The sequence below is a fragment of the Homo sapiens genome, chromosome 5 (assembly GCF_000001405.40).
Source record: "Homo sapiens chromosome 5, GRCh38.p14 Primary Assembly".
In the NCBI taxonomy this organism is placed as follows: Eukaryota; Metazoa; Chordata; class Mammalia; order Primates; family Hominidae; genus Homo; species Homo sapiens.
Window position 1 is genome coordinate 126,750,559 of NC_000005.10, and position 25,996 is coordinate 126,776,554.

Genomic DNA, 25,996 nt, shown 5'->3' on the forward strand with positions numbered 1-25,996 from the left:
GGTGGGCTGCCCGCCTGCACAGTGCCCTCCTTACCCTTTGGAATTGAGCACAGCGCAGTGTGTTTAGGGAGTCATAAGCATGCCTATCTGAGGCTTTCTTCCTTTTGCCGGTGGAGTTTACCTGGAAGATCATAATTCGCCATTTTTGCCTCTTAATATGCATGCCCAGGAAGTTTCTTCTCCCTGAGGCTTGCATTCAATTAACATTTCATATTAACAGGTGTGGACCCTCAGGAAATGCCTTTTCCCTGGCGCTGCCGAATTATCGCACTCGGAGAGGCAATGCCGTAATTGCTGATAGGCTTAGTGGGTGGGGGAGAGCCCTCTCCTGTCTGGCTCCTGCCTATCCAACTACCTGTAGGTAACAATAAGACTCACTCACTGAACTTAACGAAAAAACCTCTAAGAGATGTTTGAAATTTGCATTTAGACCAGGAAATGTGTGGTCTTATAAGACATCCTCACAAAAACGTAGGACTAGGAGTTCTCTTAAGATCGTCTAACAATTATTTGAGTGATAAAGAACACTAGGCCAGGCCCAGTGACTCATGCTTGTAATCCCAGCACTTTGGGAGACCGAGGCGGGCAGATAATCTGAGGCCAGGAGTTCGAGACCAACCTGGTCCAACATGGTGAAACCCTGTGGCAGGCACATGTAATCCCAGCTACTGGAGAGGTTGAGGCAAGATAATTGCTTGAACTCGGGAGTTGGAGGTTGCAGTGAGCCGAGATCAAGCCACTGCACTCCAGCCTGGGCAACAGAGCGAGACTCCATCTCAAAAAAAAAAAAAAAAAAAAAAAAGGCCGGGCGCAGTGGCTCACACCTATAATCCCAGCACTTTGAGAGGCTCAAGGCAGGCGGATCACGAGGTCAGGAGTTCAAGACAATCCTGGCCAACATAGTGAAACCCTGTCTCTGCTAAAAATACAAAAATTATCTGGGCGTGGTGGCACGTGCCTGTAATCCCAGCTACTTGGGAGGCTGAGGCAGGAGAATCACTTGAACCAGGAAGTCGGAGGTTGCAGTGAGCCAAGATCGTGCTGCATCACTCCAGCCTGCCGGCAGAGCAAGACTCCGTCTCAAAAAAAAAAAACCAAAAAAAAAAACAAAACACTAATTGAGAGAGTAGAAGTCAATGAAAGGATGTTCTAGTTAGCTACAGGTTGGAACTCTAACCCAAATCACCATTTGCATTCTTAATATGCCCCCAGTTTCAGGCGATTTCTTTTTGGGCACACCAGAGATCAGACAAATGCCATAATGCCTACTCTGCCCCAAATGGGGATTTTCAGGTATAGCAAGTGTAAATATAGCTTTTTCCAGAAGAAGCGGGGTTGGGTGGGAGGGGAAAATCACACAATTAATTTTCATGATAGAGATCCCAAGAAAGAAAGTGGAGGTGCTTACTGTGATTTCAGTTTAATTAGAAACACATCCTGAATGTTAAGACAAAACCAAAAGTGTTGGTTTCATTTGAACTTGAGAAGAATTGGAGACTATAGACTTAATTATGTTTCCCATCCCCATAGTAAACAATAAACACCTATTATGTTCTTCCAGAGTTAACCAAGTCTATGAGCCAATGTAATCAGTCCAATGAATGTGTTAGAATAGATACTACACATTTTGTGGGTGCTACTGCAGCTTGTATGTGTTGGCAGCAGTTCCGCTTTATTTCCTGCTGATTTTTTTTTTTTTTTGTACCTTCACTGCCATATAATGATTTAGGACTTTTGCTTCCTGAGGTCAGTGAGAACATTCATATCTGATACTTAACTCCAGAAGAAGATTCTTGTTTAGTTATGAGAAAGTGAATGGCTTTAGTGATGATTCGCAGAAATCTCCCAAGTGATGATGGAATTCTGAAAGGAAGTATAACGTATTTTTACTTAAAAACAAAAAAACAAAAAACAAAAAAACCCCACAAAAACTACCCAGGACAAAAAAAAAAAACATTTAAGTTAACAGACCTCATATTTCCCCCAGAGTCCTTAAGTGATTTTCTAAAACATTGTGTTAACTTACCTTCAAATAATTTAAAACACATCAGCTTTAAGAAAATGTGGCACATATACACCATGGAATACTATGCAGCCATAAAAAATGATGAGTTCATGTCCTTTGTAGGGACATGAATGAAATTGGAAATCATCATTCTCAGTAAACTATCGCAAGGACAAAAAACCAAACACCGCATGTTCTCACTCATAGGTGGGAATTGAACAGTGAGAACACATGGACACAGGAAGGGGAACATCACACTCTGGGGACTGTTGTGGGGTGGGGGGAGGGGGGAGGGATAGCATTAGGAGATACACCTAATGCTAAATGACGAGTTAATGGGTGCAGCGCACCAGCATGGCACATGTATACATATGTAACTAACGTGCACGTTGTGCACATGTACCCTAAAACTTAAAGTGTAATAATTAAAAAACAAACAAACAAAAAAAACACATCAGCTGTAGCTGTTTGGAGTTCTTGTACTTCAGAAAGGACAGTGGGAAGTGGCAGATGACCGTATGATCTTTATTTTACCATAAGCCAGAAATTCTGTGTTAGCACTGAAATAATATCATATTAAATATTTGTGCTGTATTATATTAAATTAAATATTCTCTGGTCACAAGGGACTAAAAACTAAAACAGCTTAAGCAAAAAACAAAAACACAAGGGGGTAGAGGCACTACTAGAATACCAGAGCAACCCTGAATCCGAGGAAGAGTGGGAGACCAGGCCTCAAGGGGACAGAAGCCAGGGCACATCTGGAGAACTCTGTGAGCATGCACTCATGCAGAGACCTTCTCCTTAGAGTGCTGCCTCAAGCGCTTCTTCATCAAAATGTCTACTTCCTGGAAAAGAGAAGCTAATTGCTCCTTCTTTGCTCGGGGTCACCTCTGGGCCAGTGAGCGATGATAATATGATAGGATAGAACCACACAGCAGAAACAAGGCTGAGAAGCATCCACTCCTGAGGACACATCAGGAGATTCTCAGAGAGCACTGGGGGCAGTGCATTGCCAACCACACATAGACTTTAATGTTATAATCATGTATTACAGCTAAAGGCAAGTTTTGCTTATTTTCTATATACAGTGATCATCACATTAACTGACATGCTCTTTCCTAACATTCTATTATTCAGCCTTAAAAAAAAAATTAGGCTGGACATGGTGGCTCACACCTGTAATCCCAGCACTTTGGGAGGCTGAGGCAGGGCAGATCGCAAGATCAGGAGATCGAGACCATCCTGGAGAACATGGCGAAACCCCATCTCTACTAAAAATACAAAAAAATTAGCCAGGTGTGGTGGCGGGCACCTGTAGTCCCAGCTACTCGGGAGGCTGAGGCAGGAGAATGGCGTGAACCCGGGAGGCGGAGCTTGCAGTGAGCCGAGATCGTGCCACTGCACTCCAGCCTGGGCGACAGAAAGAGACTCCGTCTCAAAAAAAAAAAAAAAAAAAATTAATTAAGGCTGGGTGCTGTGGGAGGCTGAGGTGGGCAGATCACCTGAGGTCGGGAGTTGGAGACCAGCCTGACTTACGTGGAGAAACCCCATCTCTACTAAAAATACAAAATTAGCTGGGCACAGTGGCACATCTGTAATCCCAGCTACTTGGGAGGCTGAGGCAGGAGAATCGCTTGAACCCAGGAGGCGGAAGTTGCAGTGAGCTGAGATTGCACCATTGCACTCCAGCCTGGGCAACAAGAGCAAAACTCCAACTCAAAATAAATAAATAAATAAAACACAAAAATTAGCTGGGCGTGGTGCATGCCTGTTATAGCAGCTACTTGGGAGGCTGAGGCGGGAGAATCTCTTGAACCTGGGAGGCAGAGGTTGCAGTGATCCAAGATCACTCCACTGCACTCCAGCCTGGGCAACAGAGCCAGACTCTGTCTCAAAAAAATAAAAGCGAAAACAGCTTTGTTGAGACATAACTCACATATTATAAAATTTATCTACTTAAAGTGTATAGTTCAATGGGTTTTGGTATATAAAATTATTAATTTTTAAAAATTGTGAAAAATAAAAATTATGGTAAAATATATGCAACAAAACTTGCCATCTTCACCGTTTTTAAGTGTACAATTCAGTGCCACTACTTACATTTATGATGTTGTGCAACCATTAGCACTATTTCCAAACTTTTTCATCACACCAAACAAAACACTTAAGAATATTGCTCTATTATAACTAGGCCTTTTTTTTTTTTTTTTTTTTTTTTGAGATGGGATCTCGCTGTGTCACTCAGGCTGGAGTGCAATGGTGCAATCATGGCTTCAAGGCTCACTGCAGCCTCGACCTCCCAGGGTCAAGCCATCCTCCAACTTACCTCAGCCTCAGCTGGAAGTACAGGTGAAAGTCATCACGCCTGGCTAATTTTTATATTTATTTTTATTTTTCTAGAGAGAAGGCCTTGATATATGTCCAGGCTGTATTTTCTTCCCCCTTTTTTTTTTTTTTCCGAGACGGAGTCTCGCTCTGTAGCCAGGCTGGAATGCAGTGGCACAATCTCGGCTCACTGCATCCTCCGCCTCCTGGGTTCAAACGATTCTCCTGCCTCGGCCTCCTGAGTAGCTGGGACTACAGGTGTGAGCCATCACGCCCAGCTAATTTTTGTATTTTTAGTAGAGATGGGGCTTCACAATGTTGGCCAGGATGGTCTCGATCTCTTGACCTCATGATCCGCCCACTTCGGCCTCTCAAAGTGCTGGGATTACAAGCATGAGCCACTGCGCCCGGCCTCCAGTTTTTTTTTTTTAATGGAAGCTTCACAGATTTGCATTATACTTGCACAGGGACCATGCTAATCTCTGTATCATTCCAATTTTAGTGTATGTACAGCCAAAGGGAGCACTATAATTAGGCTTAGACTAAAAGAGTTTTGTTTGTAAAAGAGGTTGTTTAATATCATCATCCTCTGCACATGGCTTTCCACCCCAGGTGTTCTTACAACCGCGTGCCTGAGCTTGGTACCTGAGCTGACAGCCACAGCCTTGCGGTGACTCCTGGCATGACCTGCAGGCTCCATTCTGCTCTGCTCCTCTCCACACCCAAAGAATGCAAGGCTGGAGCTCCTTTCTCTTCTGGAGACCTCAGGGACAGAGGAAATGGCAGCAGGCACATTGGCCAGAGGCCTTCAGATACAAGCCCTGCATTTTGCAAAAGAGTTTTGGGGCCTAGACCTCGATAAAGGGATGAGGTTTCCCTTCACTATTTCCCAACTGCCAGTGAAAGCCACCTCTCCCCCCGGGGCCCCTTCTCTCTCCTGCCGCCCCTCCCACCTGTCCTCTGCAGCCTCCCCACTCCCCCGTGTGTCCTCCTGGACACACCTCCCTGGCTTACACTAAGGAAAAATATACACATAAATTAATGATCTTATCTTCAATTAGATGTCTTTTGTGAGTAGTATACAGCTTATAAGAAACTATATTTCGTGCCCTGGTTCCTCTCTCTTTTTAATTCTTTTTTTTTTTTTTTTGAGACGGAGTCTTGCTCTGTCGCCCAGGCTGGAGTGCAGTGGCACCATCTCGGCTCACTACAAGCTCAGCCTCCCGGGTTCACGCCATTCTCCTGCCTCAGCCTCCCGAGTAGCTGGGACTACAGGCATCCGCCACCACACCCGGCTAATTTTTTGTATTTTTAGTGGAGACGGGGTTTCACCGTGTTAGCCAGGATGGTCTGGATCTGCTGACCTCGTGATCCGCCTGTCTCGGCCTCCCAAAGTGCTGGGATTACAGGCGTGAGCCACCGCACCCAGCCTCTCTTTTTTTATTCTAAGTCACTATTCCAGAGGCTCTGTGTCCCTTAGGGTTCTTTAGAATCAGTAACAGAAGTTGATTCTGGCATAAGCAGAAAAGGACAGTACTGAAAACATTTTGGGTAGCTCACAGAATCACGGGAGGGCAAGAAGTCCAAGGTCAAAGGAGGCTACATACCGGGGTCCCAGGATGTGTCTGAGCAGGTCATTGCTGCTGCCAAGAAGGAGGAGAGTCTACAGCTGCCACACTCACCAGCACGTAGGATCGTGCTGTCGTCCCCGCTGCCTTTTTTTTTTTTTTTTTTTCCAGAAATGGAGTCTTGCTCTGTCACCCAGGCTGGAGTGCAGTGGTGTGATCTCCACTCACTGCAACTTGGGCCTCACAGGTTCAAGCAATTCTCGTGATTTAGCCTCCCAAGTAGCTGGGATTACAGGCGTGCACCACCAAGTCTAGCTAATTTTTGTACTTTTAGTAGAGACATGGTTTCACCATATTGGCTGGGCTGGTCTCGAACTCCTGACCTCAAGTGACTTGCTCACCTTGGCCTCCCAAAGTTTTAGGATTACAGGCGTGAGCCACAGCATCCAGCCCTGACTGCCTTTTGAAACTGGGTGTGGCTACCAGAATGGATGCGCCTTTCTTCCATTGCTTTGACTGACTGGCTCCAAAGTCAAAATTCTGGAGCTAGGCATGGTGGCTCACACCTGTAATCCTAGCACTCTGGGAGGCCGAGGCAGCTGGATTGCTTGAACTCAGGAGTTTGAGGCCAGCCTGGGCAACATTTTTTGTCTCTACGAAAAAATAGCTGGATGTGGTGGTGCGGAGGTTGCAGTGAGCCAACATCATGCCACTGCACTTTCCTGCCTGGGCGACAGAGCGAGATCCTGTATAAAAAAAAAAATCTGGAGCTGGTACACCTGATTGGCGACACCTAGGCCTGCAAAAGAAATAGTTGGCTGACATGGGTGGATGGCTTTTTAGCATCTAGAGTGGGAGCAGGACCCTGTTTCTTACTAAGACTCAAATGGTGAGGAATTCCTCAAACGTAGGAAGACAGTTCAGAGGGTGAGCAACCAAAAAATTTGCAAATGTCTCCTGTAGGTAGGAAGCATCTGGTGTTCTGTTCAGATCTGGGTCACAGCATTATTTCATCTAACTTAGAAAACTATTCTAAACTAAAGTTGGTTTGCTTCCCTTTCCTTCTGTTATTAAAAAGATACACTTGGACAATTTATTCTACCAAGTTATTATAGCGAGGTAAAAATTCTGGCATCAAAACCCCATAGTTTTTTATAGTTTGTCTTCTTTTCCAAGTTTACATTGTTGCTTTTGAATACAACTGTGGAGCAAGTCTTTTCATAGTAAGCTTAGCTACAGCTTATCTCTAAGATTCTAATCGGATTCATATTCTAAGCCAATATTTACAGTTTTGAAATTTTCAAAGTTTATTTTCTATTTTCCTATTGCCTTTCCTTTTTTAAGCTGGCACTGTTAAGTTTTTAAAAGTGAGTGGCTTGTATTACTACAAGTTAGAAAAAGAGAAGAAAGAAGTCAGAACAAGAAAGAAGTATAGGGAAAAAACAATGTGTTTTTTTAAAAAAACTGAATCCTAGGTTAGCAAGAGATTTTTTTTTTTTTTTTTTTTTTTTTTAGTGAAACAAACATCAGTTTGTCCAGATAGCATTATTTCTCAGGCAAATAGGAGAATCATATTTCTTGTCTGGTGATAGCTAGTCTATATTTGTTTACTCATTAGAAAGTTCGCTGCTTATTCTGTGAAATCTCAAAATCTTAGTCTGCTTTGCTGATGTCCTATTTATTCTACATCTCTTTAATGAGTGAGGGATTTGAGCTGTCACTACTGTTTCAATTAAATGTCCCCTTTCACCATTTCCTGTGGCTTTATGGTGAAATACCCTACATTTACTGAATAATTTGGCATCTAATTTCTGCCCCCAAATCCTTAAATAAAATTGATGAGAGAGACTCAGTATAGGAATTAGATACCTGTTGATCATTAGACAACTGTCAATTACAAAATGGACTGGATTCCAGAGCTATTTTCCTGGATAGAGAGGAAAAGATGTTTTAGGTAAGATAACAGGGATCAGTGAAGGAGAGAGCATTGCTGATGGAGAGAGGAAGTAATTTGTGTAATCTCGTTTGAGTTTTAGAAATTCATGACTTAAGGTGCTGCTGAAGCCTGTTCTTGCCGCTTCCTAAGAAGGCAAATGTCTCTGGCCTCCTCAAGCCAGAGGGTGCAGAAAGAAACTGGCACTGGCGGCAAAGGGGTGACCAGCCAGATGGTGGGGCATGGAGGCGAGAGTGGGGGTGGGGTGAGGGTGCTAATTAGCTTTTCTTGCCTCACCAGGAGCCAGTGACAAGCAGATGGCTGCACACTTAATGCCACCCTTTTTCTGTCTAGCAGGCAGTAGTGGTTGGTCTTGTGGTCACGTAGAAAGCACGCATTTTTTTTTTTGTCTTCAGAATGTGGATGTGGTGTAGGGACATACAAAGGGAAAATGTAGATTAAAATATTATGTGTATCTAAGAAAAATAGATCTTATCTTCTTCCATTTTTTTGCAATAACTAGGTGCCTGTTTATAGTTTCTTTTTTTTTTTTTTTTGAGACAGAGTCTCACTCTGTCACCCAGGATAGAGTGCAGTGGCGTGATCTTAGCTCACTGCAAGCTCCGCCTCCCGGGTTCACACCATTCTCCTGCCTCAGCCTCCTGATCAGCTGGGACTACAGGCGCCCACCACCACGCCTGGCTAATTTTTTTGTATTTTTAGTAGAGACGGGGTTTCACCGTGTTAGCCAGGATGGTCTCGATCTCCTGACCTCGTGATCCACCCGCCTCAGCCTCCCAAAGTGCTGGGATTACAGGCATGAGCCACCATGCCTGGCCGCCTGTTTATAGTTTCACAACATCAACTGAAAGTGATTTATCCTTTCTATTACAAAAGTCAATTCAAATTAATCAAACTGTTCCAGGGTATGTAAGAAATAATCACTAAAACGATACAACTGGCTATGAAATCCAAACTCAAGCCACAGCATCTTGTGTTTGGAGAGAGGTTGGGTTACTAACAACGCAGGTCTTTCCTTGCACACCCTGTTAGTTTCTGTGTCTTGATCATTTCATAATTTCTCTGGAGCTGACTATAGTAACAGTAACTGAAAGTTTGTTAAATTGAATCAAGTTATAGTAAGTCAATCACTACATACGCTATTCAATATTTGTGTAAATATTGACTCCATGCCAATATAAACATTAGTGAGTATGGCAAGGTAAAACAGTTAACATTTTGAAAATGCAATGTGTAACTAGCACTGATTTTTAGTATAATGCCTTATGGGCTAAATTAAATAGTTGCTTTCAAAATTGAGAAGCAAGGATCCTAATATCTATTTTTGTAGGGGAAGACAAAGGAATAAATATTTACTGAGTACTACCCTTGTGTCAGATACCCTTGGCATACATTTAACATATTCAATTCTTTCAACATCCCTATAAGGTAGATCTTTCTCTGCTTTTTACAGATGAAAAAATGAAGGTTTGCAGATGTTAAGTAACTTGCTAGGGGTCACAAAGGGAGTGACTGAGCAGGATTCTCACGTGGGTATGCCTGACTGTCCTGCTGTCCTGTACTGTCTTACATTTATTTACCTGATCCTCAAAACCTCATTATTCCCTCAAATGCTCCCAGTTTTATCTGTCTAGTGATTGGTAAAATTAGCCCACTCTATCTCCAAAGCATTCTCCACACTTTTTATTGCTCCCAGTCCAAAGGCCAGAATGAGATCTGTAGCCAGATTTTCTTTTTTTTTTCTGAGACGGAGTCTCACTCTGTCCCCCAGGCTGGAGTGCAGTGGCGCGATCTCAACTCACTGCAACCTCCGCCTCCCGGGTTCCAGCAATTCTCCTGCCTCAGCCTCCTGAGTAGCTAGGATTACAGGCGTGTGCCACCACCACCAGCTAATTTTTGTATTTTTATTAGAGATGGGGTTTCACCACCTTGGTCAGGCTGGTCTCAAACTCCTGACCTCAAGTGATCCACCCCCCCTTGGCCTCTCAAAGTGCTGGGATTACAGGCGTGAGCCACTGCGCCCGGCCCGATTTTCTTTCTTTCTTTTTTTTCTGAGACGGAGTTTCGTTCTGTCCCCGAGGCTGGAGTACAGTGGCGCAATCTTGGTTCACTGCAACCTCTGCCTCCCAGGTTCAAGCAATTCTCTGCCTCAGCCTCCCGAGTAGCTGGGATTACAGGTGCCCGCCACCATGCCCCACTAAGTTTTGTACTTTTAGTACAGACAGTGTTTCACCATCTTGGCCAGGCTGGTCTTGAACTCCTGACCTCTTGATTCACCCGCCTTGGCCTCCCAACCAGATTTTCAATGGCTTAACTTTCCTACATTCAGATCATTTTTGGACTTTAAAAGACAAAGGGAAGTGAAATGGTGTATTGCCCGTGATCTATCACGGAGCAATAATTCTGTTCCTTATTATTATTATTTTTTTTTTGAGACGGGGTCTCGCTCTGTCACCCAGGCTGGAGTGCAGTGGCACGATCTTGGCTCACTGCAAGCTCCGCCTCCCAGGTTCATGCCATTCTCCTGCCTCAGCCTCCCGAGTAGCTGGGACCACAGGCGCCCACCACCATGCCCAGCTAATTTTTTGTATTTTTAGTAGAGATGAGGTTTCACCGTGTTAGTCAGGATGGTCTCGATCTCCTGACCTCATGATCCACCCGCCTTGGCCTCCCAAAGTGCTGGGATTACAGGCATAAGCCACCACGCCTGGCCCAATAATTCTGTTCCTAATGTGCAATTCTGTAACCTCCTTTTGCCAAATTCCCCAACCTTCACATTCATCTTGTGCTTATTAATATGTGATGCAGGTATCTTATTAGCTGAACATCTTTCAGCTCTAGTAACATGTCTAATGTTAACTAGATTCTATTTGATGCAGCTGCTACATCCATGGCTCTCTCTCTCTCATTGCTTAGCACACTACACAGTATTTAAAGTATGCATTTTAATTAAGTGGTTGATTTCCTCCAGTTTCTTCATCAGTTGTCATGACCAGTTGATGAAGCATTTGACATGACACAGTAAACTTGAAACTGAAATAGTCTGGTGGTATTTAGAGAGAATAAGTCTTACATTACATGTTATTTACTATATTTGGTACTATCTTAACACGAATAGATATATGTTCACTAAAATAAACATTACAAATCAGTTTCTTATTTTCAGACAAAAATAATAGGAAATAGGATACATTCCACATGTAATTATTATAAAGAATTGTTGGCCGGGTGCGGTGGCTCATGCCTGTAACCAGCACTTTGGGAGGCCAAGGCGGGTGGATCATGAGGTCAGGAGATCGAGACCATCCCGGCTAACACGGTGAAACCCCGTCTCCACTAAAAATACAAAAAAAATTCTCCGGGCGTGGTGGCAGGCGCCTGTGGTCCCAGCTACTCTGGAGGCTGAGGCAGGAGAATGGCATGAGCCCGGGAGGCGGGGCTTGCAGTGAGCGGAGATTGCGCCACTGCACTCCAGCCTGGGCGACAGACCGAGACTCTGTCTCAATAAATAAATAAATAAATAAATAAATAAATAAATATTGTTTTGAAAAGTTTCAAAAGTATGTATCTCTTGATTCACGTCCATTAGGGTGATTTACTCAAAGGAAGTATGCACAAGTATCTCTTTGATATGGTAGATTCATTATGAGGAATAAGAGACTGGTGAAAGATAAGGGTACTTAGATCTTCCATTGTCCTATATTGGTTCTACTTACATATGGGCGCTGGCAGACAGAAAGATGACATCATTGCATCATTTCATTGTCCCCCAGGGAGACATTCTGCTGCCTTAGAGTCATGATTTAGTTGAAAAGGTAGACTAAAAAGCAATATGTTGGGTTCCAAATGACTGCTATAGTAGTTCATAGGAAGAATGGCATCTTAATCCATCTGCAGTGAAGCAGATATTTTGATTCACTGTAATTTAAAAAATAAAAACGATGGACTCACCCTTCTAACTTCATGACTTCCCTTTTCCTTATGACAATAGAGAATTCATTTCTCCATCCTTCACTTTGAGATCAACCCAACTTAAATCTGTTAAAGGAAGTATATAGTAAATGAAAGTAACTAAGAAGTTACGATTGGAGAAATGAAACCAATTTCTTATAAATGACAACAGGTTCCTGAAAACCTTATGAAGAAGTTGATTCAGGTTACCACAGGGTGATTTTCCCAAATGAATGTCACAGTGACTACTGAACTTTTCTTTTTTTCTTTTCTTTTTTTTTTTTGAGACGGAGTTTCGCTCTTGTTGCCCAGGCTGGAGTGCAGTGGCGTGATCTCGGCTCACCGCAACCTCCGCTTCTGGGTTCAAGCAATTCTCTGCCTCAGCCTCTGGAGTAGCTGGGATTATAGACGCCAGCAATCACGCCAGGCTAATTTTTGTATTTTTTGTAGAGACAGGGTTTCACCGTCTTGGCCAGGCTGGTCTTGAACTCCTGACCTCGTGATCCACCCGCCTCAGCCTCCCAAAGTGCTGGGATTACAGGCGTGAGCCACTGCGCCCAGCCTTGAACTTTTCTTTCTTTCTTTCTTTCTTTTTTTTTTTTTTGAGACCAAGTCTTGCTCTGTTGGCCAGGGTGGAGTGCAGTGGTGCTGTCTCAGCTCACTGCAACCTCCACCTTCTGGGTTCAAGCGGTTCTCCTGCCTCAGCCTCCTGAGTAGCTGGGATTACAGGCACGCGCAAGCAAGCCCGGATACTTTTTGTATTTTTAGCAGAGACAGGGTTTCAGCCAGGTGCGGTGGCTCACGCCTGTAATCCCAAAACTTTGGGAGGCTGAGGCGGGTGGATAGCCTGAGGTCAGGAGTTCAAGACCAGCCTGGCCAACGTGATGAAAACTCAGCCCTACTAAAAATGCAAAAATTAGCTGGGTGTGGTGGCAGGCGCCTGTAATCCCAGCTACTCAGGAGGCTGAGGTAGGAGAATTGCTTGAACCCAGGAGACAGAGGTTGCAGTAAGCCTAGATTGCACCACTACACTCCAGCCTGGGAAACAGAGCAAGACTCTCTCTCAAAAAAAAAAAAAAAAAAAAAAAGAGACGGGGTTTTACCATATTGGCCAGCCTGATCTTGAACTCCTGACCTCAGGTCATCCACCCGCCTCAGTCTCCACAAGTGCTGGGATTACAGGCATAAACCAATGCACCCAGCCGATGTTTTTCTCTTTAAAGATCTGTTTCATAATACTTTATTCATATTCCAATCTTTCCAAGACAAAAATGACAGCAACCCTCTTTGAGTCACTTGTTTCACTCTTTTTTTTTTTTTTTTTTTTTTTTTTTGAGACAGTGTCTCTCTCTGTCGCCCAGACTGGAGTGCAGTGGGGCAATCTCGGCTCACTGCAAGCTCTGCCTCCCAGGTTCACGCCGTTCTCCTGCCTCAGCCTCCCCAGCAGCTGGGACTACAGGCGTCCGCCACCACGCCCGGAGAATTTTTTGTATTTTTAGTAGAGACGGGGTTTCATTGTGTTAGCCAGGATGGTCTCGATCTCCTGACCTCGTGATCCGCCCGCCTCGGCCTCCCAAAGTGCTGGGATTACAGGCGTGAGCCACTGCGCTCAGCTTTGTTTTGTTTTGTTTCACTCTTAACACCTGCTTTTGTTACTCAAATACATCTTTTAAACCTGATCAAATCATAGGCTTAAAAAAACCTGATTGTATGCAATTTCTGACTCCTGAAGAAATCACACAGGTTTTATAGCATGAGTGTAAAAAGGGAAGAGTCCACAGAAAATTTAGAATTAAGCATCAAATATGGTGGAGACTTTATCTACTTACAAAAAAAAGCTTCAAAATATACCTTATAAATTTTTAAATCTAATGTATAGGAGACCAGAATATATTTTATTTTTCTTTCTTGATTTTTTTTCTTTTGAGACGGAGTCTTGCTCTGTCGCCCAGGCTGGAGTGCAGTGGCGCAATCTTGGCTCACTGCAACCTCCAACCTCTGCCTCCCAGGTTCAAGCGATTGTCCTGCCTCAGCCTCCCGAGTACCTGGGACTACAGGCTCGTTCCACTATGCCCGGCTCATTTTTTTTTTAGTAGAGACGGGGTTTCAGCATATTGGTCAGGCTGGTCGTGAAGTCCTGACCTCATGATCTGCCCGCCTCAGCCTCCCAATATTTCCATTTTTTATCATGGTAAAATGTATTGTACATATAGTAAAATCCACAGATCTTAAGTGTACAATTTAATGTCTTGGTAATTGTATGTACCCATGTACCCATGACTTCACTCAAGGTATAGAACGTTCCTGTTGTTCCAGAAGGTTTCTTTTTTTCTTCATTTTCTTATTTTCTTTTTAATTTTTATTTATTTATTTTTATTTTTTTTTTTTTTGAGACGGAGTCTCACTCACTCTGTTACCCAGGCTGGAGTGGAGTGGCACGATGTCAGCTCACTGAAACCTCTGCCTCCTGGGCTCAAGTGATTCTCCTGCCTCAGCCTTCCAAGTAGCTGGGATTACAGGCATGCGCAAGCACACCCGGCTAATTTTTGTATTTTTAGTAGAGACGGAGTTTCACCATGTTGGTTAGGCTGGTCTCGAACTCCTGATTTCAAGTGATCTGCCCACTTTGGCCTCCCAAAGTGCTGAGATTACAGGCGTGAACCACTGAACCCAGCCAATTTTTTTTAGTAGGGATGGGGTTTTACCATGTTGGCCAGACTGGTCTGGAGCTCCTGATGTCAAATGATATGCCCACCTCGGCCTCCCAAAGTGCTGGGATTATAGGCATGAGCTACTGCACCAACCATTTTATTTATTTTTATTCTTTTATTTTTTATTTATTTATTTTTTTCCAAGACGGAGTCTTGCTCTTGTTGCCCAGGCTGGAGTGCAATGGTGTGATCTTGGCTCACTGCAACCTCTGCCTCCTGGGTTCAAGCGATTCTCCTGCCTCAGCCTCTCGAGTAGCTGGGACTACAGGCGCGTGCCACCACGCCCAGATAATTTTTGTATTTTTAGTAGAGACGGGGTTTCACCATGTTGGCTGCCTCGGCCTCCCAAAGTGCTGTGATTACAGGCATGAGCCACCGCACCCGGCCTTTATTTTTATTTTTATTTTTGAGACGGAGTTTCCCTCTTGTTGCCCAGGCTGGAGTGCAGTGGCATGATCTTGGCCCACTACAACCTCTGCCTCCCAGGTTCAAGCTATTCTCCTGCCTCAGCCTCCCGAGTAGCTGGGATTACAGGCATGCTCCACCATGCCTGGCTAATTTTGTACTTCTGCAGAGACCGGGCTTCTCCATGTTGGTCAGGCTGGTCTTAAACTCCCGACCTCAGGTGATCAGCCTGCCTCAGCCTCCCAAAGTGCTGAGATTATAGGCGTGAGCCACCGCGCCCAGGATTTTTTTTTTTTTTTTTTTTTTTTTTAGACGGAGTTTCGCTCTTGTCGGCAAAGCTGGAGTGCTATGGCCTGTTCTCAGCTCACTACAACCTCCACCTCCTGGGTTCAAGCGATTCTCCAGCCTCAGCCTCCCGAGTAGCTGGGGCTACAGGTGCCCACCACCAAGCCCGGCTAATTTTTGTATTTTTAGTAGAGATGGCATTTCACCATGTTGGCCAGGCTGGTCTCCAACTCCTGACCTCAGGTGATCCACCCACCTTGGCCTCCCAAAGTCCTGGGAGCCACCACTCCTGGCTTTTTTTTTTTTTTTTAATAGAGATGGGGGTCTCACCATATTGCCCAGGCTCATTTTGAACTCCTGAGCTCAAGCCATCCTCCCACCTCGGCCTCCCAAAATGCTGGGATTACAGGTGTGAGCTACCACATTGGGCCCAGAAAGTTTCTTAATGACTCTTTCCAATCAATTCTCAACCCTGTAGGAAATCACTGTTCTGATTTCTTTCACCATAAATTTGATTTACTTGTTCTTAAACTTATATAAATAAATCTTACAAGATGTACTTTTTATTACCTGGCTTCTATGGCTCAATATAATGTTTATGAGATTCAACCATGTGGTTGGTGTACCTGCCATTCCTTTTTTTAAAATTGCTAAATAGTACTTATACCACAATCCATTTTTCTATTCTCCTGTTGATGAACATTTGGATCTTTTTCAGTTTTGGCTGTGTAGGGAGTACAAACTTTCCCCTACTCTTAGCTTCTATGGCTGGGCCTGAGAATTAAACTGACCTGATACATTTCTTTGTGGCGTGATCTTGGCTCACTGCAACTTCTGCCTCCCGGGTTCAAGCACTTCTCTGCCTCAGCCTCCTCAGTAGCTGGGATTACAGGCGCCCATCACCACACCCGGCTAATTTGTGGATTTTTAGTAGAGACAGGGTTTCACCATGTTGGCCAGGCTGGTCTTGAACTCCTGACCTTGTGATCCACCCGCCTTAGCCTCCCAAATTACTGGGATTACAGGCGTGAGCCACCGCGTCCGGCCAACCTGAGACATTTCAATAGGATAAAAGTATACAAATTTTACTTAATATTTTTAATTGTACCAGAGGCTTCATAAGAAAAAACAGACCGAAGAAGTGGTTAGGACTGAGAGTTTATATAAATGTCCTTTCTTTTCTTTTTCTTTGAGATGGAGTCGCACTCCACTGCCCAGGCAGGAGTGCAGTGGTGCGATCTCACATTGCAACCTCCATCTCCCAGGTTCAAGCAGTTCTCCTGCCTCAGCCTCCCGAGTAGCTGGGATTACAGGTGCCTGCCACCATGCCAAGCGAATTTTTGTATTTTTAGTAGAGATGGGGTTTCACCATGTTGCCCAGGCTGGTCTTGAACTCCTGACCTCAGGTGATCCACACCCCCCCCCTTGGCCTCCCAAAGTGCTGGGATTACAGGCGTGAGCCACTGTGCCTGGCAGAGTCTTTTCTACATCTGCTGTAATTCCCAATTGGCTTCAGCTCAAAATAATCAATATGCCAAAAGCGACATTCTGGGGTGGCATGTTCTGAACCCCTTCAGCTACTATGAGTAAAGCTACTATAAACTTCTTGTTCAAGTCTTTTAGTGTACATATGCTTTCATTTGTCTTGGGAGTGGAATTGCTGGACTATAGGACCCATTTTTACCTTTATAAAGAACTGTTAAACAACTTTCTTTCTCTCTCTTTCTCCTTCCTTCCTTCCTTCTTCCCTCCCTCTTTCTCTCTCTTCTCTCTGTCTGTCTTTCTTTCTTTCTCTTTCTTTTTTGAGTCTGGCTGTATTGCCCAGGCTGGAGTGCAGTACCATGATCTCGGCTCACTGCAACCTCTGCCTCCTGGGTTCAAGAGATTCCTGCCGGGCGCGGTGGCTCACGCCTGTAATCCGAGCACTTTGGGAGGCCGAGGTGGGTGGATCACGAGGTCAGGAGATTGAGACCATCCTGGCTAACACGGTGAAACCCCATCTCTACTAAAAATACAAAAAAATTAGCCGGGTGTGGTGGCAGGCACCTGTCGTCCCAGCTACTTGGGAGGCTGAGGCAGGAGAACGGCGTCAACCCCGGAAGCAGAGCTTGCAGTGAGCAGAGATTGCGCCACTGCACTCCAGCCTAGGCGACAGAGCAAGACTCCGTCTCAAAAAAAAAAAAAAAAAAAAAAAAAAAAAGAGATTCTCCTACCTCAGCCACCCCAGTAGCTGAGATTACAGGCACCCGCCACCATGCCTGGCTAATTTGTTGTTGTTGTTGTTGTTAAATTTTAGTAGAGATGGGGTTTCACCACGTTGGTCAGGCTGGAGAACTGTCAAACAATTTCTGAAGTGGTTGTACTATTTTACACTCCCATCAATAGTATATAAAAGTTTCAGTTGCTCCTGTACTCTGTATGTAAATTGGAGAGGTCCCTATTTACTTTTCAGTGTCATCTCTTTTCAGAGACTTTAACAGAATGTATTTTGTAGCATTAAATTCCAAGTATGTGGGCAACCAAATCCTGGATAATTCTTGCCCAGTTACCAATATAAATTCTCAACATACACAAATACAATATTTCATACAAAAGATAGTCATCTCATTTTATGTGATAGTTTTATTCCTGAAAAACTTATAAAGCTAATTTGTGTAATTCAAATCATTAACTGAATGCATCTTCCCCTACTTCCATGTCCAGTTCAAATGGTCCTCTTGCAGGATGTTCTATCATGTTGTCCTGAACTGAAGTGATTCCTTCTTTAAATTTTAGCAGTTTCAGCCGGGCGCGGTGGCTCACGCCTGTAATCCCAGCACTTTGGGAGGCCGAGGCAGGCGGATCACAAGGTCAGGAGATCAAGACCATCCTGGCTAACACGGTGAAACACCGTCTCTACTAAAAAGCACAAAAAATTAGCCAGGTGTGGTGGCGGGCGCCTGTAGTCGCAGCTACTCGGGAGGCTGAGGCAGGAGAATGGCGTGAACCCGGGAGGCGGAGCTTGTAGTGAGCGGAGATCGCACCATTGCACTCCAGCCTGGGCAACAGAGCCAAACTCTGTCTTAAAAAAAAAAAAAAAATTTAGCAGTTTCAGTGATTTGACACTTGTCATCAATGTCAGTTCTTTGGGCCTTCATAATTTATGGCATCATTGCTTACCCTATTTAATCACATGTAAACATTTTATTTCCACACACACACACACACACACACACAAACAATACAGTGCCTTCACTGAAGGAAGGAACTATATCTTATACTTAAAAACAAACAAACAAACAAAACAAAAAACTCCTAGGCCAGGCATGGTGGCTCATGTCTGTTATCCCAGCACTTTGGGAGGCCAAGGTGGAGGATTGCCTGAGCCCAGGAGTTAGAGACCACCCTGGGCAACATGGTAAGATCTCATTTCTTTTCAAATTTGAAACAAAACAAAACAAAATTCAGTCATCCAGTGGAGTGTCTTGCACATAGGAGGTACTCTAGCATTTCTTGCTTCATTGGTTTTTCTGTTTTTGTTTTGCTTTAGGCAAGGTACAACTGTTGTTTTTTTTTTTTTTTTTTTTGAGACGGAGTCTCACTCTGTTGCCCAGGCTGGAGTGCAGTGGCACGATCTCGGCTCACTGCAAGCTCTGCCTCCCAGGTTCACGCCATTCTCCTGCCTCAGCCTCCCGAGTAGCTGGGACTACAGGCACCCGCCACCACGCCCAGCTAGTTTTTTGTAATTTTAGTAAAAATGGGGTTTCACCGTGTTGGCCAAGATGGTCTCAATCTCCTGACCTCGTGATCCACCCTCCTCGGCCTCCCAAAGTGCTGGGATTACAGGTGAGAGCCACCACGTCCGGCCTTTAGGCAAGGCATAACTGTTATGACAGCTTAAGTAAATTATATGCTTTTTAAAAATTATATGGTAATTTTCTCAATTTTCCATTTTTCTTGACTAGTGTAAGCCAGACCTAAGTTAAGATTATTGACTAAAATACACTTCTCTTACCACTTTACAAATTCCTAGTTTAAACCACCTCCTGCTTGGTGTGGTTTGAAATAAAAAGCACACCATAAGGAATTAGAGATTCTGTCTGGGGTTTCCCTCTAATTCTCCCTGGGGGCTGTGGGTTGCCATTTACAGCCCTCCACAAGGTTTTGAGTCCTTTTGCCAGTCCCTGAAGGCTGATATTCTCAGAAGCCCAGCTTAGAGATCATCTTGTCTGCTCCCTCCTCCTGCACACAGAAACTTGCTCCATCCTTAACATGCCTACACCGCTTTGTTCATGCCTGTTTAGTACTTGACATTTTGAGGCATAATTTATTATATACATGTTTGCCTGCCCATAGCTGGACCGTTGAGCTTCTCCAAGCAGGGATCATGTACCTTAGACATTCCTTGCTTGGCATGTAGTAAGTGTTCAACAAATGTTTGTTGAATAAATGCACGGATTAATGAGTGAGCAAATAAATATGACTTTTTTTTTTTTTTTTTTTGAGACAGAGTTTTGCTCTTGTTGCCCAGGTTGAGTATAGTGGCATGATCCCGGCCCCACTGCAGCCTCTGCCTCCTGGGTTCAAGTGATGCTCCTGCCTCAGCCTCCCAATTAGCTGGGATTATAGGTGCTCACCAGCATGCCCGGCTAATTTTTATATTTTTAGTAGAGACGGGGTTTCACCATGTTGGCCAGGCTGGTCTCGAGCTCCTGACCTCAGGTGATCTGCCCACCTTGGCCTCCCAAAGTGCTGGGATTACAGGTGTGAGCCACCGCATCTGGCCAGTTTTTCTAAAATATGTGAATCTCTGGGCATTTAGGCCTGAAGGAGACTAGTTTCTCTTATTCAAGCTCCATGAAGTAGATATACATATGGTATGTTGTTTTTGTTTGTTCAGCCTCTTCTTATCCCTTTTAGGATGAATTCCTCATTCTTGTGGGAATCCCATGTGGTTCGTTGTCACTTGACTCTCCTTCACCCCTATTTCTTTTTTCTTTGAGATGGAGTCTTGCTTCATTGCCCAGGCTGGAGTACAATGGCGTGATCTCGGCTTACTACCACCTCTGCCTCCCGGGTTCAAGCAATTCTCCTGCCTCAGCCTCCTAAGTGTCTGGGATTACAGGCACCTGCCACCACACTCAGCTAATTTTTGTATTTTTAGTAGAGATGGGGATTCGCCATGTTGGCCAGGCTGGTCTCGAACTCCTGACCTCAGTTGATCTGCCCGCCTTGGCCTCCCAAAGTCATGGGATTACAGGCGTCAGCCACTGCTCCCGGTCATTCACCCCTATTTTTTTTTTAATTTTAAAATTTTTGTTCTTACTCTCAGAATTTAAAACCCCTACCTATAAAGAAAAAAAAAAGGAAAACAAGTTTGAGCAGTATAAAAACTTCAGGTGGCTGTGCTACCTGAATCCTCTTAAAGATGGTAAATATACTTTAAAACTCCTAAGCTTTTTTTTTTAACATGAAAATCAAAATCAGACTTGGAAGACATTCTGGATAGTCACTCAACCTTCTAAAACATGATGTCTACACTTTTATAATAACTGGAAAAAGTATCAAGTTTGTAAAATATATTTAGTCGAACAATCTGTTCCAGGAGAAGATCATGTATTCAGTTATTTCTTCATTCATCCATTCAGCAAACATATATTGAAGAGATACCATTTAGCAATTTTTTATTTCATTTTGTGTCGCAGTCCTAGCTATCCTATTTGTTTGCAATGTATACTCAATTTATCTGCCAGCTGTCACTCCCCTCTCCCAAGACAAAAGTGGGTTACTGCTAAGCTTTCAGTCTCTCCTCCCCATTCCTTCTCACCCCATCCTAGTATGGCCCCTTCTCCCCAGATGTCTTATGTATCATATATTTTTCTGTCCCAGATCCAAATGACATACATAAAGTAGGACAAATGTCAATTAAGTTCTTTACATGTAGTGAGGTAGTTGTAGGAGGAGTATGGACAAGGGAAAATGATGGCATGGCATTTTGAGACTTGGTGGGGATATATATGGTCTAACCAATAATCAGGACATGTGCCCTGACAAGTAAATGGAGGTGTATAGTAAAAACAAAGGCAGGATATTTGAAATCACCACTATCCTAGTAAATGCAGAAGTGTTGTCACCAAATTTACAAATTTGTTACTTCTAATTCATTGGGGAAAACTTTGGAGGGATAAGATTTCAGGAATTACTTGAATAAAGGGAGCTTGACTAACTTAGTATGAGAGAACAGAAGGCCATAATCCAGGTTTAGCATTAGGTATGGGAAACACCTAGAGAATAAGGAAAGTGTATATTTTGTAAAGTAGCTGACCAAAAATGTGCACAATTGTCTAATTCTTGTGTGTGTGTGTTTTGTTTTTGTTTTTTTTTTTGCTACGGAGTTTCACTCTTGTTGCCCAGGCTGGAATACAATGGCACTATCTCGGCCCACTGCAACCTCTGCCTCCCAGGATCAAACGATTCTCCTGCCTCAGCCTCCCGAGTAGCTGCGATTACAGGTGCCCACCACCATGCCTGGCTAATTTTTTGTATTTTTAGTAGAGATGGAGTTTCACTGTGTTGGCCAGGTTGGTCTCAAACTCCTGGCCTCAAGTGATCCACCCACCTTGTCCTCCCAAAGTGCTGGGATTACAAGGGTGAGCCACTATGCCCGGCCACAATTACCTAATTCTAAGGCTTCAAGATTTTCCATTCTTTTTCCTTGATTTTCAATGGAAACACATGATTACTATTAGTAAGCGTTACTATTTAGCCTTCACATGTTGTATGTCTAACACACTGCATATATTGTTTTATTAAATCTTTACAAATCCTGTGCAAGGTAAAAACCATTCCCATTTTCTTTTCTTTCTTTCTTTCTTTTTTTTTTTTTTTTTTTATGAGACGAGTTTCGCTCTTGTTGCCCAGCCTGGAGTGCAATGGCACGATCTTGGCTCACTGCAACCTCCACCTCCCAGGTTTAAGCGATTCTTCTGCCTCAGCCTCCTGAGTAGCTGGGATTACAGGCATGTGCCACCACGCCCGGCTAATTTTATATTTTTAGTAGAGATGGGGTTTCTCCATATTGGTCAGACTGGTCTCGAACTCCCGACCTCAGGTGATCTGCCCACCTCGGCCTCCCAAGGTGCTGGGATTACAGGCGTGAGCCACCGCGTCCGGCCCCCATTTTCTTTTTCTTTCTTCTCTTTTTTTGAGACGCAGTTTTGCTCTTGTTGCCCAGGCTAGAGTGCAATGGTGCCATCTCAGCTCACCATAACCTCTGCCTCCCAGGTTCAAGCGATTCTCCTGCCTCAGCCTCCCAAGTAGCTGGGATTACAGGCATGCGCCACCACGCCCAGCTAATTTTGTATTTTTAGTAGAGACGGGGTTTCTCCATGTTGGTCAGGCTGGTCTCGAACTCCCGACCTCAGGTGATCCACCTGCCTTAGCCTCCCAAAGTGCTGGGATTACAGGCATGAGCCACCGAGCCCGGCATGTGTTTTTTTGTTTTGTTTTGTTTTTGAGACGGAGTCTCGCTGTGTCGCCAGGCTGGAGTGCAGTGACGCGATCTCGGCTCACTGCAACCTCTGTCTCCTGGGTTCAAGAGATTCTCCTGCCTCAGCCTCCTGAGTAGCTGGGACTACAGGCGCGCACCACCATGCCCAGTTAACTTTTTTGTATGTTTAGTAGAGACGGGGTTTCGCCGTGTTGGCCAGGATGGTCTCGATCTCTTCACCTCGTCATCCGCCCGCCTCAGCCTCCCAAAGTGCTGAGATTACAGGCGTGAGCCACTGTGCCCGGCTCCATTTCCATTTTCCTTGAAGGAAATCACGGAATAATTTTCTTAAAGTTATACAGCTATCAGTAGCACATCCTCAATTGTCTGACTCCAAGAAAGTTGTTTTATATAATAGGATATGTATAATGTGAGCCTCTTCAAATAATCTGAAAATTGAGGAACTCTATCAATAGAAAGCTTCAGGCCGGGCGTGGTGGCTCACGCCTACGATCCCAGCATTTTGGGAGGCTGAGGCTGGTGGATCACGAGGTCAGGAGTTGGAGACCAGCCCGACCAACATGATGAAACCTCGTCTCTACTAAAAATACAAAATTAGCCCGGTGTGGTGGCGCAGGCCTGTAATCCCAGCTACTCGGGAGGCTGAGGTAGGAGAATCGCTTGAACCCTCCAGGAGGTAGGAGATGGAGGTTGTGGTGAGCTGACATCGCGCCACTGCACTCCAGCTTGGGCAAGAAGAACGAAACTCTGTCTCAAAAAAAAAACAAAAACAAAAACAAAAAACAAAGCTTCATGGGGTTGAGAGCAATAGAGATCATTGCTGGAATCACATATAATCTTAAAACTTAAAAAATGGACAGGAAATAATTTTAAAAGAAAACTGACAATTTTTTTTTTTTTTTTTTGAGACGGAGTCTCGCTCTGTCGCCAGGCTGGAGTGCAGTGGCGCGATCTCGGCTCACGACAACCTCCGCTTCCCGGGTTCAAGCCATTCGCCTGCCTCAGCCTCTCGAGTAGCTGGGACTACAGGCACGTGCCACCACGCCCAGCTATTTTTTTTTTTTTTTTTTTTTGTAGTTTTAGTAGAGACGGGGTTTCACTATGTTGGCCAGGATGGTCTCCATCTCTTGACCTCGTGATCCGCCCGCCTCGGCCTCCCAACCAAGTATTTTTAAAAGACAGGTAAAGGGGAGCAAGGAATGAAAACCATAAAACCATATGGATTGACTATATCACCTGTCGTAGTGGAAAGGGTCTCACAACCAAGTGAGAACAAGCAGATTTACATTCCAATCCTGGTTCCACAGCCTGGGACCCAGCACTCACCTTCTTTTGGTCTAATTTCCTCATCGGTAATTTATTTTATTTAACTTTAAAAAATTTTTTTTATTTTTTTGCAGATAGGGTCTTGCTTTGACGCCTAGGCAGTGTCGCAATCTCAGCTCACTGCAACCTCTGCCTCTGAGGTTCAAGCGATTCTCCTGCCTCCTGCCTCAGCCTCCGGAGTAGCTGGGACTACAGGCGCGCGCCACCACACCCCGCTAATTTTTGTATTTTCAGTAGAGGCGGGGTTTCACTATGTTGACAGGCTGGTCTGGAACTCCCGACCTCAAGTGATCTGCCCACCTCGGCCTCCCAAAGTGCTGGGATTACAGGCTGAGCCACCACACCCGGCCGGTTTTCTCATCAGTAATTTAGATTTTAAAGTTCCCTTTAAGATTACTTGAATACTTAAAGTCTAAGCTTTTCGATTCTTTATTTCTCAATGAGGTTAAGAAAGGAAGTATTTCATGGCCAGGCGCGGTGGCTCACGCCTGTAATTCTAGCACTTTGGGAGGCCGAGGCGGGCGGATTGCCTGAGATCAGGAGTTCGAGGCCAGCCTGGGCAACACGGTGAAGCCCAGTCTCTACTAAAATACAAAAAATTAGCCGGGTATGGTGGCGTTGGTCCCAGCTACTCAGGAGGCTGAGGCAGGAGAATCGCTTGAACCCGGGAGGTGGAAGTTGCAGTGAGCTGAGATTGTGCCATTGCACTCCAGCCTGGGCGACAGAGCAAGACTCCGTCTCCCTGCCATCCTCCCCCCCACCCCCCCACCCCCCAAAAAGCAAGGAAGTATTTTAGGAAACCGGACAGGAAATAGAACCATTAATAAGGAGAATGTCATCATTCACAGAGTGCCAAAAATTCATCTGGGATGAATATGCAGCTCCCAGTGCTCTTCACTAATTCTTATGTACATGACTTGATTAACAGTTAAAGAATATCCTGGTCTCCATTTCTGCCATTTTAAAAGTAAGTAACCATTAATTACAGAAGCGTTCCTAATAGGTGGTAAGGTGGTCATCTAGGGTATAGCTAAGGGCCAGACTCGAGTCAATTAGAATCCTGGGACCTGTCAAACGCAGTCCTGCGGAGCAGCCTTCAGACAGTGAATCTATAAAATGGATGGTTTCTTTCTTTCTTTTTTGAGACGGGGTCTCCCTGTCACCCAGGCTGGAGTGTAATGGTGCCATCTCGGCTCACTGCAACTTCCCCTTTCCGGGTTCAAGGGATTCTCCCACCTCAGCCTTCCAAGTAGCTGAGATTACAGGCACCCGCCATCATGCCCGGCTAATTTTTGTATTTTTGTAGAGACGGGGTTTCACCATGTTGGTCAGGCTGGTCTTGAACTCCTGAGCTCAGGTGATCCTCCCCCACTCGGCCTCCCAAAGTGTTGGGATTATAGGCGTGAGCCACCGCGCCCGCCCGGATGAATTTTCAAATAGAAACAATCCAGTTTCCCACATCACACGGAGATTGTGTGGATGGGTAATCCATGAAAAGCCTGGTGCTGGCACTCAGTCCCAATAAATGTTAGCTAAAAATTAGGAACTTTTCAAAGGGATGAATGTGCTTTCTAATAGAAGTAGCTGCCAGTGACATCTTGGGAGCCTCTTTTTAAAAGCAAAAAATTATTTCATCTTAAATTTTCACAAGTTCAGATTTTTATGTACCTGATTTTAACGGAGTATGAAACAGCTTGCTCTCGTAGTTACTCACCGTCATATGTTAATCGTATCATTTCTGAGCTGTTTTTTGATTTTACAAACCCTTAAATTAAGAAACGGATTAGGAACCGCCCATTAACACTGTTGGCAAATGATTTAAAATCAGGGTTGCTGGTTTTTCTGTGATAATCTATCGGCTTCAAGACGCACAGATCTCACTTTCATGGAAAGAAGTTGCCTGATACAGTTTTCCACCGGAGAGAAAAATAAAGGCTGGTACTTGGAACCTGCAAGCCGTGCATTTGGAACCTC

General features: G+C 44.5%; 1 long non-coding RNA gene and 1 pseudogene across 1 annotated transcript, besides 3 other annotated features; both read right to left on the reverse strand.

Moving 5' to 3' along the window:
* Positions 1 to 1,404: 1,404 nt before the first annotated feature.
* LMNB1-DT (LMNB1 divergent transcript) lies at positions 1,405 to 25,928 on the reverse strand. Its single transcript, NR_134485.1, has 4 exons — positions 25,737 to 25,928; positions 11,807 to 11,893; positions 4,979 to 5,154; positions 1,405 to 1,863 (listed from the first exon to the last, which is right to left on the reverse strand). It is a non-coding gene; the product is annotated as an LMNB1 divergent transcript (long non-coding RNA).
* Positions 3,682 to 3,848: a silencer, noted in NCBI's record as "fragment chr5:126089932-126090098 (GRCh37/hg19 assembly coordinates)". NCBI's record gives its function as "represses an EF-1alpha promoter that drives an FKBP-Casp9 reporter gene in an ReSE screen in K562 erythroleukemia cells {active_cell/tissue: K562}" and the evidence as "EXISTENCE:reporter gene assay evidence [ECO:0000049][PMID:32094911]".
* RNU6-752P (RNA, U6 small nuclear 752, pseudogene) lies at positions 4,758 to 4,859 on the reverse strand (annotated as a pseudogene).
* Positions 8,254 to 8,323: an enhancer, noted in NCBI's record as "active region_23025". NCBI's record gives its function as "activates an Ori minimal core promoter by ATAC-STARR-seq in GM12878 lymphoblastoid cells {active_cell/tissue: GM12878}" and the evidence as "EXISTENCE:reporter gene assay evidence [ECO:0000049][PMID:35858748]".
* Positions 25,355 to 25,404: a silencer, noted in NCBI's record as "silent region_16284". NCBI's record gives its function as "represses an Ori minimal core promoter by ATAC-STARR-seq in GM12878 lymphoblastoid cells {active_cell/tissue: GM12878}" and the evidence as "EXISTENCE:reporter gene assay evidence [ECO:0000049][PMID:35858748]".